The sequence below is a fragment of the Homo sapiens genome, chromosome 21 (genome assembly GCF_000001405.40).
Source record: "Homo sapiens chromosome 21, GRCh38.p14 Primary Assembly".
In the NCBI taxonomy this organism is placed as follows: domain Eukaryota; kingdom Metazoa; phylum Chordata; class Mammalia; order Primates; family Hominidae; genus Homo; species Homo sapiens.
The window spans coordinates 16,587,790-16,606,051 of NC_000021.9; the positions used below are offsets into that span (position 1 = coordinate 16,587,790).

The window sequence follows — 18,262 nt, forward strand, 5'->3', positions numbered from 1 at the left end:
CTTAGGATTTCAACACAGTTTAAATCATATTGATGACTCAGATCCTGGCAGGTCTTACAATTCCTGTGAAATGAGAGCACAGCTAATAAAAATATTAAGCAATTACTTTTATTAAAATCATAGGGTTTTTTTCATTATCACATAGAAATGATTGATCTATACAGATTGGTCTCACTCATGTGTCTTTTGGGCTGCTTGGGAGCTTCATGTAGAAGTGGAAAGTCCCCTTTGCTCTTCCTTCGACCAAGGTGGGGAAAATGAAGGCATAGAATACAATCTAGGGCTATTAAAGAATTGCTGGCATTACTTCTCTCTATCACGTGTGAGCCTGGCTGCCTGCTTCCTGAGGTAGGGGATCCAGGATGAGACTGTGCCGGAGCCTGTTTCCACAACTGCATTTGGAGATCCGTCTTATTGATTAGCGGGGGAAAGGGGTGGGGATCAGGAGTGTGAGGTGAGGGGAGGACCAACTGACGACTGGCTCAATGAAGCACAAGACATTTTCTTCCGGAAAGATGTCAAACAACTGAGAAACAGCCAGAGAGGAAGTAGAAAGGTGGAAAAATGAGGAGACCCTGGAAGAAATGAAGGCATTTCCTATGAGACAGCCTTGGGGCTTTTTTCTTTTCTTTCTTTTTTTTTGCTTCCATCATCTGACCTGCAAAGGCTAGAGTGACAGCGTCATGCAAATGCTGCAGTCCAGCAGGTCTGGGAGAGGGTGGATGCTAGACTGTGAGTTAATGTTAATGATGAGCGCAGTGAAAATACCAGCCGCTGCCACCCCCTGCTCACAGAAGCGCTCTGAGTCAGCATCAGATGCTTTGCCTCGCCTCTCGCTGTGTATCTGTATGCCTGTGTGCGCGCGCGTGCTCGCTCGGGCATCCGTGTCTAGCCGAGGGGAGGGGGTGGCGTGTGAGTGCGTGGAGGGTAAAAGCCAGTCAGTCAGTGAGAAGCAAAGGTACGTTGGAGAGCAACTAAAATCTGACTGATTTCCATCTTTGGAGCATCAGATGTATTCCCTAAGGAGGATGGGTCTCCGTGATGGGGGTGGTATAATTATGTTAATGTCATTTTTATGGAGGGGTGAGATTTTTCATTCTGATAATTGGTTGAATGCTATGGTCAAAAATTGTAAAGCCATATTCAGTTTTAGGGAAAAGCATGGACTTAGATCTAAGGGCTGTTTTATTTTTTCGCTTTTTGTGAGTGCTGCTTTTTTGTTTTTTTGGTTTTTGTTTTTTAACTATTTATTTTAAGCCATAAGTGATTCAGTATGGGAAATCAAATGATAAACAGAAAGAGATCTTATATAATGATGCATTACATCATGGAGCAGAATATTTAAAGTCTTACAAGGCAGAGTAAAGATCTGGACAGGGGGTGGGGGGTGGTGGTTGGAAAGGGGTGTGGTACTAGGGTGGAGGAGGGGGGCCAATTACCAAATATTTTGTGCAGTATAGCTTTCCTTGCAGCTTACTTGGAAATGGATGATTCACCTGTTCTACAGGAAAACATTCTAATTCTTTCCATTTTTTTTTTTTTCCTCCTCTTTTCCCTTTTAAGATCAACCACCTCAGAAGAGCCAGATTCCACTTCTGTGGCCAGGACTTTTACATTATGGCTGGTCCGATTGTTTTACCCTGCGTTCTATGCTACTAAACCTTGGATCATTCCTAAAGTACAAATTCTGTTCTCGAACCACAAACAAGGCTAAAAGATCGGAGGAAATTCAGTGAATATACAGGATTGGGGTTGTGTATTTTTAAAAGTATTGAGCTTTATAATGTAATTATTCAAGAAATAGAATCATGGTTTTTTTATGATGTTGCCAGCATTTTAAATTACATGTTTATTAAGTGGCATTGCTCAAATAACTACAGAGTATGCGTGGAAATATTTGCTGTCTGAATAGTTTGGAGATTCAAAGAGAAAAATCAAGCTTCAGAGGTATTAAATTATGACATGCAGAAAAGTTTTTGTTTTGTTCTTAACTGCAACGGTATATATTTAAATCCGATTTAAAGTATTATATGTCCTGGGCCCACCTTACCAGTTGTGCTGTATAGCAGTGTAATGGGAAGCAAAATTTCAATTAGGGTCCCATTAACTGGCATATAATCCTTCTTTAATGTAATAGAGGCTATGGTGTTGCTGTACAAATCTGCTAGAAGCAGATTTTAACCCATGTTTAGTCTCTTTCTTTGGATCTAATGGAATGACTCTTAACTGTTCATTGTCTGCATTGTTTCTCATATTCTTCATTATTTTAAGGTCTGGAATTAGTCTATAAATGGTCGTCGTGATTACTCAGCTCATCCTAACTTTTATATATCATATATATTTCTACTGAAGTATTTTAAATAGTATTTAGAGGTAAAAGTCTAAGTGAACCCAACTGTAATTTCTAAGCTATCCTTATTTCTGGAAGAAGAATTCTACCGCATCAAACCAGACTTTTCCTAGTCCCTGAGACCCTAACTTGTGAGGTATTTTAGTAACATCACAAGTCAGGCTCTTGGGACCTAGGCGGAGGGGAACCAGCAGCTTTGGACCTTATTGATTGTCTGCAGTTACCACCAGAACAAAAGAACATACATAGATTCTGCCTAGGAGAAAAGAACAATGCTTTTCTTTATCATCAGCAACGTTTTCACCATGACCCATCCCCAAAAATACTATTGTCAGAAACTGTACTCTAAAGTGATTACACAGTTGCACTGAAATAGCGTTTGTATTATAACGATCATACAAAAGCAATATAAGAAACCTGTGTAAGAAGCAAAATTAAAATATAAGTGTTTTAAAATGCTTCTTTTGGTGCATTTTAAGGTGGCTAGTATAAGAGGATATCTCTTCAGTTAATGAAGAGAGGGGATTATATTTATAACTTTTCATATGCATTGAAATATATACATTAGCTACTTAAATAAATCCTGTATGCCTCCATATAACTATGGCTCAGACTATGTCATATACAGCTATAAGCATGCTTGAGGCCTAGAAATAACATGATTTACAATCTTCTTTATTGACCCTATTAGATTTTACTACCGATTTAAGAAGAATGCTGTTTTATACTTTGTATTTATTGCCAGGGCTTTTCTGAGTCTTCTATCCAACCAACATACTTTATATGTCTTAACAATTCTAACAATTATTTTGTTACGAGAGTCCAAGAGTGAAAGTTTCACCAATAATCTGGGAAAATATGTCTTTTTAAAATTTTTTACAGTTTACTGTGTACATATCATGGGCCTACGTGAGATAAAACAGTAAACGCCACCTATGAAGTCAAACTGCTTTGACTAGCAACTGCATATGAACTGCATAGTTTTAGTTTTATAAGAATTTTAGCTTTATCGGAGGTAACTATTCCAACCATAAGTAATATGTCATATTTGAAAGTTTAATAGCCATTGCCACATCAGATATGTCTTTCTTGGAGATAGAATCAGTATGCTAAATCTATTTAAAAATTTTACAATAATGTTACAAATATCAAGATTCAAAATGGAGATGACAGACTTTCCTTAATAGAAGCAACAAAGTGGCTTCATTCTTTTAACTATTGCCTTAGATGGGTGCCATAAATTATGTGTCTTCTGCATTGTTAAAATAAATTTATGAATGTATTTTAGAATACTGTACGGAGTCTTTGTTCATCTTTTTAAAAATTTCTTATAATACCTACTTGAAATATTACAGAATACAAATCATCTATTAGTCATAGTTATTAAAAATTACTATAACAATATCATAAACATACACATCTATATAAAGCATGCAGAATATGTTTAAGCATGTATGCACACTGTACCTATTCAGATTCTTTATTTATATCATCTACTTCATTTATCTAGAAGTTCTGAAATTTTAGGTGTGTGTATGTATATGTATAAATATAAGTTTTAAAGCTCCAAATGAAAGGAGGTAATATAAACAGTAAAGAGCTTTGGTAGTATTTATCTTTTATTTCTTTTGACCTCATTCTCATTGGAATTGAGTATTTTTTAAAACCATAAGTTTCTTAATACAAAGAAATCTATGTATGTGTGTCTACATGTACACAGAAGCTTGATTACATTTAATAGCAATGTTCACACAATGGATCTGAAAGTACTTCTTGTAAAAAAGAATATCACATACAAGTATGTGTTTACTAACATCTGTTTTAACATGATCATAAATAATATCTGTGAAAGGTTCCATCAAGTTAGTTCCAAAACAATGTAAGGGGTAGATGTTTATTGGCTATAGTGATATCAGATATAGGTTATTCAAACGTGAAAATTTTTTAATGTTATCATATTCATGAACCACACTATATATTAACTTCTGTCTCATAAAAGAAATATACCAAAACTGAATTGAGAATGCAGTCATGTTTGTTCATTTTCACCATAAACATATAAAATGTTTTTTACTGATAATCCTGCACAATTGGAACTTCTCTATGTAACCCTCCTATATGAACAGTCTTTCAAGAGCGTCATTGACAAAGCTTTTCTTTTACTTCATAAAGGTGTATATAGATTTAAGTGGGTGACTTTGCTTATGTAGGCTACTTTATGCTGTATGTGCATAGACAGATGCCACTTTTTCTGCATTTCTATCTCAGCTGTCACAGGATAATATTGTTTTAGGGCTTTATGATATGATTTGGAAAATCAGATCATACTAAGCTTAAAATAAAAAGGAGAGATCTACAACAAAGAGCGAGAAAATGATGTGTGTTGCATGCAAAAAAAACAGTGATATTAACAATTCGATGGCTTCCTGGTTGGGAGACCAGCCTGAGCCAGACGCATATATTAAGGGCTGTCTGCTGCCGATGTGAGCTTGCTCAATGCGGTGGAAATGAGGAATCATCTCCTTTCTGACACCAGCTTATTTGTACATTTTAATTTTGAAATAGCCAATCACTGTTTTACATAAATATACTAACCCCTGCCTGATTCATTTTCTTTCCCATATTGTTTGTTAATTTACTGTGAACTTCAAGTTCCTTTTTTTGGCAAAAAAAATCATCATTCAACTTCAACATCTACCAAAGACCAATGAAGTATTAGCTTTTCTTTTGTCTCTTTTGTATTGCTCTGATAATATTGTGATATTCATGCTTTTAACTTTTAATCTCTGTAAGGAAAACATCAATTTTCCAAAATAGCATTTTTTAAAGCCTTTTAGGATCCATCAAGGAAGCCACTCTGGAATTTTGCCAAATCTAAATATGATTATATTTCATTTCAGGGTTCATGGGATCAATATCTTTTTCAGTATAAAAGTCCCAAACACTTTAGTATTCCAGTGGAGCTACAGAAGAGGTGTAGAGATATTCTTAAATCATTTAAGCATTAGGCTACATTAATAGTGTCTTGAAGAGAAATAAGTATCTCAGGAGAATTATAGTACAAGTTAATTACTAATGAAATTAGAAAGGGTATGTTCTGCCTTAAACTCCTCTTCAAATGGACAGGCTGGTACATGTGCCTAGGCTTGGTCTAATACACCTTAAATATATAAACGGTTTTACAAGCTGTCATGTTTGGATGAGTTTGAGAAAAGCAGTATATAAAGGGTTAGCTAACGCCCAAATTTTCTTGCCATTTACACATGCAATGCAGCCTACATTTCTGTAGGCAGCAAATGCAGGCATCATTTTGATTGCTTGAATTCTTTTGTTTAATTTTTTACTAGACATTTAACTTAGCACTCAAATCCCACTGATCCCTTAGAGACTGCATTTGGATAAGGAAAACAAAGTTCCTAATATAGAGAAGTTTAAAAAAAAAAAAAATCCTGGGCCCTTGTAAACATTTGAGAAATAGACTTTTAGTGTAGCGCTGCAAATACATATTTAGAGTGCAGAAACTTAGGTACCTTTATTATCTATCATCATCCTGGTTTTCTTATCTTTCAGTGACCAACTATAGAGTCGGTCACATATTTATTTCCTATATGTCTTTATTTCTTGAAAGGTTTAGTAAAAACAGTGTAAAAATTGACATATCTTCATAAAATGATTCACACCATTTCTTCAATGAGCTAGCTTCAATTTTCATTAAATGTTGCTTTTCTCCACGTCTCTACATGTTAAATGTAACTTTATGAAGTACATTAGCAGCCAATAATATTAACTTGTATGTAATAGTTTACTTGTAGGAATTTGAAAGCAGGTGGAACTTGAAGGTAATTGAGATTAAGTGAATTTAAGATTAAATAGCTTCATTTTATATAAACAGTTAATTTCATGCATATTTTATGGACAACTTAAAAGTGAAAAATTCTGATAAGGTGAACTAAATTTTTCATTATTGATATAAGTAACGTGACTTTAAATCTGTTACCTTAATAATTAATTTCTAAACAAACAAAACAGGTATAAAAATAATCATGGACTATATTCATTAGGTCAAGTAAATAAGAATAAAAACTTCCTAGGTTTTGTCTTGGCCATATAAGGTCTTTGAGGTGTTTTGGGTTCTTTTGTGTTGATTGATAGATTTAACTTTGCCTCTCTTCTGAGAAGTTTCTCCCTCTTTGTCAATAGGTGTCTGATGATTTGTGAGCCTCAAGTGACTACTCTGTGGAATCATCTGTCCTTGCCTTTGAATTAGCTTTCCCTAGGCCATGAGTCAACATTAGTAGTTTATACATCCAAATTGGTAGGTCTTTATGAAATTCTTCTATGTATTCGTTCTAGACATATAAGTGAAGTATAAGAAATTATAGATTTACATTGTGGTTGTTTTTACAGCTTCTGGACATCTTTGAGAAAATACTTGGGTGGCATTGAAACACTAGCCAATGGAAGCATTTGATTTTGTAGAATTTTGAAATGTAGTGCCTTACTCATAGTACACTTCCTAGTCTTGGGGGTGGGAAGACCAGTCTGTAGCTAACTTATTACTGTCTTATACATCATGCTAAAGCCCAGCCTGGGCATTTGTAAACCTCGGGGAGGTTTCTACTTTAGACAACAGTTTTTGTTGAGGGATTACACCACAGTCAGTTCCCTCCATTTCTCCCTCTCTTCCTGGCCCCCCTCCCACCCAACATGGAGCCTTTTCAACTCTTCAAAGAAGTGGGAAAAAAAAGTAGACTCTTTATTAATGGCAGAAAACAAACTGGCTGCTGTACTTCCGAGGCAGCTCTCTAATAATAAAGCAGAGTAGGCACTGCAACAAAGAATTCTTGAATGTACTAAATATATAGGGAAGCCTATTTAAATTCACCAGAGGGGCTTAGAGGACAAGCAGCAGAAAGTTTAGAATTCAATTCAAGCCATGCCAGAAAATGAAAATGTACTTAAAAAAGGATTTCTGAAACAATTGTTCAAAGAAATGTCAACTTTTAAGGTTCTTTCTAGAAGAATGAAATTTGTACTCTAATTTATGTGGTGACTTTTTCAATTAGAGAGGAAAAGTGATTAACAGAATCTCAAAGGAATTGTATCTTATGTTTAAAGAAAACGTGTTTTCTTTCCATAGGATGTTCTCTAGTGAGGGCCACCTAGTGCACTGACTAAAAACAACCAAATATATTTATGGGACAAACAGATAATGTATTTTTTTTTTTTTTTAGCAATTAGACATAACAAATGCTCATCTTACTTTGACAGAAAAATATTCAACTTTATATTCTTTCTAGTTCATTTTCTCACATTCAGCTCTACGATTTAAAATATTTTAATTGTAACTCTGAAAGAGCAATTTGCTGATAAATAATAGGACTATGTGTTTCTAAATTTAAGAGATAAAAAAGTGATCCCTACCTTATCTCTTAGTGATTGAGTCAAGAAATTATCGTTGCCCATTATTTACCTATCTATAAGACATGTGTTTCTATAAGGAATACCCACATCTATAAGAATATATATTTTATTAATCACAATGTTCACTTTCTTTATAAAAACTGCTTATAAAGATCCCAGCACTTTGGGAGGCCGAGGTGGGCGGATCACGAGGTCAGGAGATGGAGACCATCCTGGCTAACACGGTGAAACCCCATCTCTACTAAAAATACAAAAAATTAGCCAGGCGTGGTGGCGGGTGCCTGTTGTCCCAGCTACTCGGGAGGCTGAGGCAGGAGAATGGCGTGAACCCGGGAGGCGGAGCTTGCAGTGAGCCGAGATCGCGCCACTGCACTCCAGCCTGGGCGGCAGAGCGAGACTCCGTCTCAAAAAAAAAAAAAAAAAAAAAAAAAAAACTGCTTATAAATTTTATTCAAGGCCAGTATGGTCTTGACTGATGAATGAAATTTCATACAGGCTTTCCTTAATACCTTCTTTTAGAAGTAACATAGATATTGGAAAAAAAAGATCGTTTTTCTTTGTCCTCAAGGATTGCAAGTTTTAAAGAGAATGGAGGCTTGGACTTGCTAGTGACCATCTTTGTTGCCATTGTGGAGAGATTCTACCTGAGAATGAAACCCACATGGAATTCATCAGTTCCACAGTATAATTTGTCAGCTTAAAATAAGATATTTATTTATTAATGCATCTATTCTTCCCACCCTCCCCCAAGTTCTCTCTGCTGGCTCTGCCTCTCCCTCTCACCTGATATGTTCTCCCTCTTTCTTTCTCTTTCTCTCCAGTGTTGACTTCATTCTCAGGTAAGCTTTCTGAATGTGGTGGCAAAGATGGCCACATACAACTTCAGACTTGCATCATGCGTCATCCTACAGCCTGTGAATCCAGGAAAAATAAACAAACAAAAAGATTCTCTTTATGCCAACATCAATTTCAGTTGTCAGAAAATCTTGGATTGGCTCTGTTTTGGTGACATGCCCATATGTGGATCCACTTATTTGATAAACAAGGACTACTCTGATTGGATGGCCAATGTAGGGAGGCAAAAGACGACTAGCCTATCAAGGTCATGAGGAATGAGTGAGGGTCTGTCAGTCGTAGAAAGTGAAAGGAATTTAAAGCAGGCGGGAATGTAATGGAACACACAACCACCACTACACATTTTTTAATTACTGAGTATAATGATGATTGATAGGCTTTTGAAAATGTTTGTCTTGGTAAACTCACTGGTACCTATCAATGTGTAGGCAACATTAGTTTATTTTGCCAAATGTCCTCTTACAGCATGGAAACTATAAAACATCTGCTGCAGCAAATCTCAACCTTGAGTGTCATGAGATTAATTACTTTTATTAACACTTTCCATAAGCATGTAATATATGACATATACCAGGAAAGTCAGCATTTGGTCTCATTTAGGAATTTGAAATTTTAAAAATTATTTAAGATTACTAGAAATTGTTTGGTAAAGAAGAGATGATTATTTTTTTCTGTAGCCTATTGTGTCTATCCTTAACCACCATATGATCAGACCATTTCCTTACAGCAAATTTTATATCCTCCCCACTTTTACCTCTAATGTTAGAGATAATTAGTGCTGATTCTTGGAAATTTTTATTTTTGTTTATGAATTAATTTCTTCCTCTACTACTATTATACATATATATATGCATTATATATACATATGTGTGTGTGTGTTTGTGTGTATGATGTATATATGATGGCTACAGTTATAAAATAAGGATGTTAGATTCTTATTCCATATCCTTTACCTTGTTGCTCTTTTGTTTATCATAGTATGACCTGGGTGGTTTTTAACATTTTACCATCAAGAACTACTATTTAGGAATCTTTCTCAATGAAAAAGAGATTAATTTACTATGAATAATGGTTCTAATGCAAAACATTTTGGGCTTTTGTTGTGATGCAGATGAGCAAAGCCATAAATATAATTTAGAGAGTTTGAAAATGTATTTTAACATTCACAATTCTTCTTACTAATTAATCAAATTACAAAATTATGCTGTGGCTTCCAGTATATTAAAATAAGTTGTCATATTTGGAACATCTGTTTATGGTCCTATTATGAATATGTATTTCTAAAGGGCTGAAATATAGATTGCCATAAATAATGTTTGCAATTTAGTCCGTGGAAAAATGATACCTACTTCCCTTCACAATGCTTGTTTATTTCCCACGAAGTAAATCTTCCAGATTGTATTTTATCATTTTCTTATCAAGACGGAGGAAAAAAGACTCGGGTCTTACTTAAGCCTTGCTGATTGGTTAAGAAAAGAGATGGCTGTCATCGGCAGCCTTGCCAGACACTGTACCGTGGCTCCAGACAGTCAGCTGGTACTATCGCTTTGTCTCAACTATAAATCACAGTCTCGTAATGGCCAAGGCTGACACCTTGACATTTTCAAGAAGAGTAAAAGACCTGATTTGAATGGAAATCAATTTCATTTCACAAATCTTGGGTGACTACTCCAAGCCTTTTCTTGTGTCTTCTTGAGACTTATTTGGGATTTTCATGATCATCAGAGGATTATTTGAGTGTTATATTATGACTTTTTAAAGCTATAAAACCATATTCTTACTTCCTTCTTCATTCCTAACATGAGAAAATTGATTTTTAAAGTTTTATGTAAGAAAAATCACTAATAAGCACTGATAGTTTTTAAAATGGCAATAGCAGCCAATGCTGTTTAGTTTTGCAAAACTTTTGTAAAATGTTCTCTGATTTAAAAGTACAAGCTGTGTACACACGTATCCAGATTAACCTTTGATTACCTGATAATAAATATTAGCAATTATCAAGTGATTTTGCACTTCAATCAAGCAGGTCTCAATGAAACTTAAAATCTTTTGAAAAGTATTTTCACTTTTACGTTCTTAGACATAACAAGAAAGTTTTAAGCCTTAAATTTTAAGTATTCTAGAGCCAATGATGAGTAAAAAGTACTTAATTATGTTAGATGGGACCTTGCATTAAATTGCATCCGATCTTTTGACCATTCGACCCAAGTGACACAGAAATAATTTCATACTTTACTAGTATGAAAAGAAATTCTTTTTGGGGCTTTTAGGAGCTTGGCATTGAATGTTTAAAATGTTTAATATACTTATTCTGTTACATCTTTCTCCTTTAGAAGAATACTACCATTTCTTTAAAAGCACGGAGGGGAAGACATTTCTTCTTTCCTGGTATTTTGTCTTGATCCCTCTCCAAGAGTGATCTAAGCTCAGTAAAGCCTTGGTCTTCTCGACACAATATTAATGGAAAATGTTAACCTTACCTATCTCTCTTTTTTAAGTATGGAGGGATTACCACAATGCCTTGTGATGATTTCTCTTCATCTTCATTGTTAGTCCTCAACTTTGTCTCAAATCATAATTTTAAACAGATAAACTTTGATTGTTAAATTCATTATTTTGTAAAGCCCTATGAACGAGTGAAATTACACACAGTTACAAACAGGATTCCCAACCCTTAAATCTTTTTATTCATCCTTCTATCCATCTACTCATTCATTCATAATCTATACAGAACATGATCCTACTGAGGTCATGAGTTCGAGACCAGCCCGACCAACATGGAAAAACCCCATCTCTACTAAAAATACAAAATTAGCCAGGCATGGTGGCACATGCCTGTAATCCCAGCTACTCGGGAGGCTGAGGCAGGAGAATCGCTTGAACCCAGGAGGCAGAGGGTGTGGTGAGCCGAGATTGCGCCATTGCACTCCAGCCTGGGCAACAAGAGCAAAACTCCATCAAAAAAAAAAAAAAAGAAAAAGAAAAAGAAAAAGAAAAAAGAACACGATCCTATGCTACGTAGGTGGGAAATACAAAATAAAATTAGAATTCTTTCTTTACAAAATACGTTCTTATGAGAATTTGTTTAAAAAACAAAAAAGTTATCAAGTCAGAAAGTGATCTATCCACAAAGGAGATGTAAACACAACGTTCTGATGTTTTGGGATTCTAGAAAAGGCATTTTTTGTTGTTGTTTTTTTTTTTGGTTGTTTGTTTTTTTGATGGAGTCGCTCTGTCACCCAGGCTAGAGTGCAGTGGCACGATCTTGGCTCCCTTCAACCTCTGCCTCCTGAGTTCAAGCGAGTCTCCTGCTTCAGCCTCCAGAGTAGCTGGGACTACAGGCTCCCACCACCACACCTGGCTAATTTTTTGTATTTTTAGTAGAGATGGGGTTTCACCGTGTTAGCCAGGATGGTCTCGATCTCCTGACCTCATGATCCGCCTGCCTCGGCCTCCCAAAGTGCTGGGTTTACAGGCGTGAGCCACCGCGCTGGGCCTGAAAAGTCATTTATTTTAGTCATTGAAAATCAAGGACAATTCCTTGGTGGAGGCTGCATTTAGCTGGTCCCTAGATAGGAAGGATTTCTAGAGAAAGTGATGGAAGGGCTTGGGTTTCTGGGAGACTATACAGTATATACAAATGTGCAGGAACAGGAAAGCTGGGCTATGTTTGGCAATGAATGTTGTTGCAAAGTTAGGTGCATTGTTGGAAAGTTAGTAATTGAGTGCCTAATAAAAAGTAAGCTGAAATCAGTTGATGGAGTAGCTACAGAGTTCAGGGAGGTTGTCCTGGGGATTGTGCAATTTTACAATGGAGTAGGCACTGAGGACCTTTTAAATATTTGGGGACAGACGCAAGGATGTAAAGTGCAAGATTAATCTGTTTCCAGTCAATATGGCTTAATACTCCAATCCAGAGGACCTGTCAGAATTACTGAGCAAGCTTTATGTAGACACACCATTTTTCCTACCCCTTAAATTCTGACTCACTAGGTCTGGGGTAGAGAATGTGCAGGTGTGTTTTGTAAAAGCTCCTAGATGACTGGCTAACACACAAATTGAGAAAGAGTTGGATAGAGAATGCTGAAATGAGAAAATATAAGGGATTATTAGATAGAAATAAAGACTATTGCAATGTGTAGGAAGAACAAAAATGGAGATATAAACCAGGGTTTCCTAACATGAATTTCACATGCCCCTAGACTTTTGGGGTTTTATATTCCTATGAGAGTGCATGTAATATTTTGAGTGTATGTCTATTTTTTTTCTGGAAAAGGTGATCTAACCATGTATATAATATTTTCAAAGACTAAAATCACCCAAAATTAAGAACTACTAGGGCCAGTTAGTATGAAGTAAATGGGAGAAAGTTCATGAATCTACAATTGGAAGTATTTAATGACAGAGTAGATTGCATAGGGATGAAATTTGTGGCAAGAAAGAAAGGCAGAGAAGATTTCATAAAGTTTTTCTACCTGTTGATACTAAAAGAATTAGAATCATCATATTCCTTTTGTGAATTAGCATTAACTTCCTCTTACACTTGTATTTCAGTTAATAGAACTTTGATATTAGGCATGGTGTGAATGTGGCACCACAGGAAGTTGTTGAAGCAGTAGTGAAAAATTTAGAGATGACTACATAGCTTCAGAAATCATTCTTCTAGAAACATAGTTGAACACTTTTGAAGTTAGGGATCAGGTTGCTTCCATCTTGTTGCTCTAGTAGAAATGCAAGGAGAAAAATAAAGGCACTGCACTCCCTTTTAAGGAAACAATTTGGATTTTTATAAACAGAATCTACTATGTCCTTAGAACTTAATCACAAGTTACACAAAGTTTTGGAGCGGAGGGGTGCATGAAAATGCAGACTTAATTCTAGGTAGTTATTTACCCAGCTAAAAATCAGAAGAAAAAAAGCAGTAGATATTGAAGAAAAACTATCAACCTGTCATAGTGAACATCAACAATTTTGAAGCATCTGATAATAAATGAACCCAACCATAATATGAGGACATTTATCTCAACCTTCTCCTTAAATAATATATTTTGCTTAGAAAGATGTACAGATTTCTTTATAACATATCTTATGACACATTTTAACACCTGTCTTATACAGGTGATTCATATCCTGAAAAGATTAGAACACTTCCATGTTCAACTGGAAAGATAATATTACTGGTTGCAAATGCAGTTAAACCTATTCCAATGTTACTAAGCCTACTAGTCTTGAACCATTTTAAAACAATTTAAGATATTTTCACATTATCTAAAGATAACTAGGTTTTTTACAAAATAAAGTCTGGGGAAGGACAAAAGAAAAAGTAACAAACTCTTAGAGATCGATGATAGCAAATCTTCATTTTATAAAATTATAAAATGAAAAATTCCAGACTAAATAGAAAAACAAAAACAACTATTAGTCTCATCAGCCAGAGAATATCTCCTATTATCATACAATGTAAACTCATGTGCTCTATCTCTCTCCACCATCACATACATGCACTCAATATTTTTATAATCTTTTGTAACTTGTTTTTCAATTGTTATATACTGAATACTTTGCCACATATTATTTTATCATATGCTTATTATGTTATTGTTTTATGATACACTAATATAATTTATTTAACCAGTCAGCTCACAGGTGTACATTGAATTTACTTTCACCTTATTTTTAACTAATATAAACACTACTATGTTGATAAATACACATACATATAATTATATGTAGTGATTCCCTGGGTATATTCATTGGAACAGATGATAATGGCCTGAATGAAGGTGATGGCAGTGGGATTAGCAAGGCAAAGAGGGATCAGAGAAAATTTAGAAGGTAGAATTAACAGAGTCAAGTGATTGACTGTATAGTTGAATGATATCTGGAAAACTTAAACCAAAATAATTACCTCCTAACATTATGCTGTTGCTCTATTGTTCTCCGCTCATTTGATCTATAACATTTCTTTCTTTCATGGGAAGGAAGATGCAATCAAGAATAGAATAAACAGAAGATTTGAAGTGACTGGTAGATTATTTTTTAAACTTATAGCAAGTGTAATGAGCTCTAAACAAATTGGTCTGGTTTGGAAGAGATAGACTCACAAGAAAAAAAAATGGTTTTACTTTTAATTTCTAAAGTTCATGGCCAGAAATATTAGCCTAATCCTAGAGACCTGGATCATAGAACTTATCATAGTTAACTATCAAATAGAGAAGACTTTAGGATATGATCTGAAGGTAGTCATCCATCATATAGAACACCATGATACTTTCTAGACTGGGGTCAGTGAAGAGACTAGTGTCCTAGAGAGAGAAGAAAAAATTGAATATAGGCAAATATTCCTTATTTCACTCCTAGTTTTACACTAGTGGTCGTTAGTGTCCTAGAGAGAAAAGAGAAAATTGAATATAGGCAAATATTCCCTATTTCACTGCTAGTTTTACAACCTCTAGGGGAGGGAGTGAAAATCAGAGATGTGTAATTCCACCTTTATTATACACTAAATTCTCATACATTCTAGAATATTCTAGTCCATTTTAATATTGTAGATACAATAGTAATAACTATTGTTCTAGATTTTCTTTTCCTTTTCAAGATTCCTTGAAAACTGGAATCTTTTTTTCATGGAGCTTATCCAGGGGTAGCATAGGACATAGTCTTTTTTGTTTTTCCTAAGTTTCATTCAGACTTTACTTTTTCTTCTGTCTTTATGCAGATAATCAAGTACTTGATCCTTAGCAGATAGGCTCATTTATTCACTTAGTCAACAAATACATTAAATACCTTCCATATGGAAAGCAAATTATTTTAAGTTGTAAAATTAATTTCAGCTACAATTTATTGTATTACATTTTTTTAATGTTAATTGAACATATCAAGGCCTTTATGCGGGTTGGAGCATATGCTTCACACAGATCGCACTTAGTATTTTAAGATTATAATTAGAAATAAACAAAGCAGGCCAGGCGCAGTAACTTATGCCTGTAATCCTCGCACTTTGGGAGGCTGAGGCAGGTGGATCACCTGAGGTCAGGAGTTTGAGACCAGCCTGGCCAACATGGCGAAACTCCATCTCTACTAAAAATACAAAAATTAGCCAGGCGTGGTGGCGCATGACTCCCAGCTACTTGGGAGGCTGAGGCAGGAGAATTGCTTGAACCTGGGAGGCAGAGGTTGCAGTGAGCCAAGATCGCACCACTGCACTCCAGCTTGGGTGACAGCGAGACTTTTAAAAACAAACACACTACAACAACAGAACACAAAGCACAAACACACAGAGACACACCTACCCACAAGCCTGTAAGAAATATTGATGATGGTGCTAAAGAAAATGTGTGAAGAAACAGTTCAGAAAGACTGTCGTGGCACATCTTTTCAAAATCATTGACTAAACACACCAAGAGAAAAAAAAGAATGATTTATTTGTTAGTGCTTCTAGTATCTTTCCCAAGAATTCAAGTGGAACAGAGAATCCAGTGAAATTTGGTGCTTTGCATCATTACTAAACTCATATCTGCAAGGTAATCATGTGTGATAAGGCTAAAATGTAAAAGCATTTAAATCAATAGCTCTTTCAGATGTTCTTCTGATAAAATTGCTTCATTTACTTTCCTAACTAATTTATGTAAGTGAAAAGATTAAGAGAAAAACTAATATTAGGAGTAACAGGATCCAAAGAATGTATTGAACTTCATTGTTTTAGTTGGCATCTTTGCGAGCCTTTTAATGATCTGATCTCAGAAACATCTATCTTAGAAAGGGGTATACTTTCTGGCTTCATTTACTTGAAAATAAATTAAGTTAGGGTCATAAGCAGAGGTTAGGTTACTTCTACCTGGAAATTAATCAGAAATTTGATTTTGCCCTTTGTATTGCTTTTCTGCCCCCACATCTCAACACACCTTCTGTCGTACAATCCTAAAGCTCCCTTTCTTGCATCGTGGCAGTTTAAAGGAATTTGAAGTTGTGGATTTCCATATTTACATAATTATATACTGAATATATAATATAATAGGGTAGGGTAAAGTGTTTTTAAAAGATGTGACATCTTAAAGAAAATCCACAGATATCATAAGTGAGTCTAATTTATTGGCAAATTTCAGGCTATGTTCTTAGTCATATTTCTGCTAGAAGAAAACTACTTTCCATTTTGTGTTTTCTCATTTGCATTACTGCAAAGTTATTCATGCATATGAAAAGGATATTATTCATCTCTGTATTCCTTTCTCTCCTTATTCCAAACCCAATGATTTTATGAGTTATACATAAAGAAACACACTGCTATATCTATATGTTTATACATAGATATCTATGTGATTCAAATTTGGTATTACAGCTGGATAGCAACCCCAAGTGATAACATTATGTGCTACATGTGTCTTATTACATCATTAATGATATACCAAAATTGTCAAATATGTTGAAATCCAACAATTGTAACTGACAAGCTTTAGCATGATTTGCCTCCATTGGGAATGAAAAAGAGATAGAGGAATGTATTTCTGAATTCTTCCTCAAAGTGCATATGGCTGTACGATAAGCTCTTGTTTCTTACCTGCTAATATTTTTAGTGAGATGCTGTTGTCACAGTATTCATGGTAACTGGTTTCTGAAGTTTTTATGTGCATAAAGCCATATCATCTCCTAAATTGAAATTCCAGTGATATTCCAGAAGGAACTATGAAGGTGAACTGGCAAGAAGAAAGATGACCAACCTGACAGGGCTTTTTCCTTTCTCTAATGTTTGATTCTTCTTATCTCAATATCCCAAGGAAATTATTTCACTTGAAAGTTTAGGCAGAATCCGCAGAAAAAAAAATTTCTCTTTTCTACTCTCCAGTTCTACTCCTACCCCTTAGAAAAGCAAATGGTATTCCTTCAATTCTTGAAAGTTTTTCCTTAAAATATCTTGGCATTTGCAAGGCAGAGGAAAATAGGGTTGACAGTGAATTTCATGGACACAAACCTCATTCATGACAATGATGAGGTATTCAAGATTTCTCACCCTTTGTGTCCTGCTTTATGTGTATTTAGGGATGGCATGAAGGAGGAGAAAGAGGAAGCTTATACTTTTTTCTTTAAAATTAATTCCCATTTAGCCGTTAAAGAGTGGAATCGTTTTTAAGCCGGGAAGACATTGTATTTGCATTTTCCTTTTCAATAATTGTAGCAGATATGAAAGTGAATAGACAATGGCAGTCACATACAGAATAACCTGGTTTCCTAGATGGACCCACTTGTCGGAGATCAAACGGCTACAGCACATTTAGGGTTACACTCTCTTTCCCTTCCTCCTTATTCTCAACTGCAGTGGAGCTTGTTCCAAAGTTGCCATGGTAACACTATATCTGGCTGCTAGCTCTGTCGTAAGTTATTGAACTGAGACTGGCTTTTGGTTTAGCAGATAATTAGGTTCTGTCTCACAGGTTCATTTTCCTGTGACTGGGACGTGAATATGACCTACAGCTGGCCTCAATTTCAGTGTCACAGACAAAACTTTAACCCTTCCAAGCTCCTCTGGCACACTCCTAAGCACCGCTTGTGTGGTAGAGGAAGTCCAGTGTATGTCACCCATACCTTGAGGAGGATTACCAAGTCCTCATTTTATTTTTTATCTTTAGCATAACACTA

The 18,262-nt window shown here is 35.3% G+C and overlaps 1 long non-coding RNA gene and 1 other non-coding gene across 17 annotated transcripts in view; both read left to right on the top strand.

Annotated features, from left to right (window-relative positions):
- The window catches only part of MIR99AHG (mir-99a-let-7c cluster host gene), a 561,240-nt gene that overhangs the window by 517,302 nt on the left and 25,676 nt on the right, over positions 1-18,262 (top strand). For 4 of the 16 annotated variants that reach the window (NR_136542.1, NR_027790.3, NR_136552.1 and 1 more), the window contains one exon: positions 6,551-6,665. The exons of 10 other annotated variants lie outside the window; for them this stretch is intronic. This is a non-coding gene — a long non-coding RNA (mir-99a-let-7c cluster host gene). Of the gene's footprint in view, positions 1-808; positions 959-1,563; positions 1,752-6,550; positions 6,666-18,262 lie in introns of those variants that run through there. 2 more of the 16 variants (NR_136548.1, NR_136549.1) reach the window with 2 other exon arrangements.
- On the top strand, positions 2,448-2,536 carry MIR125B2 (microRNA 125b-2). Its single transcript, NR_029694.1, has one exon. It is a non-coding gene; the product is annotated as a microRNA 125b-2 (primary transcript).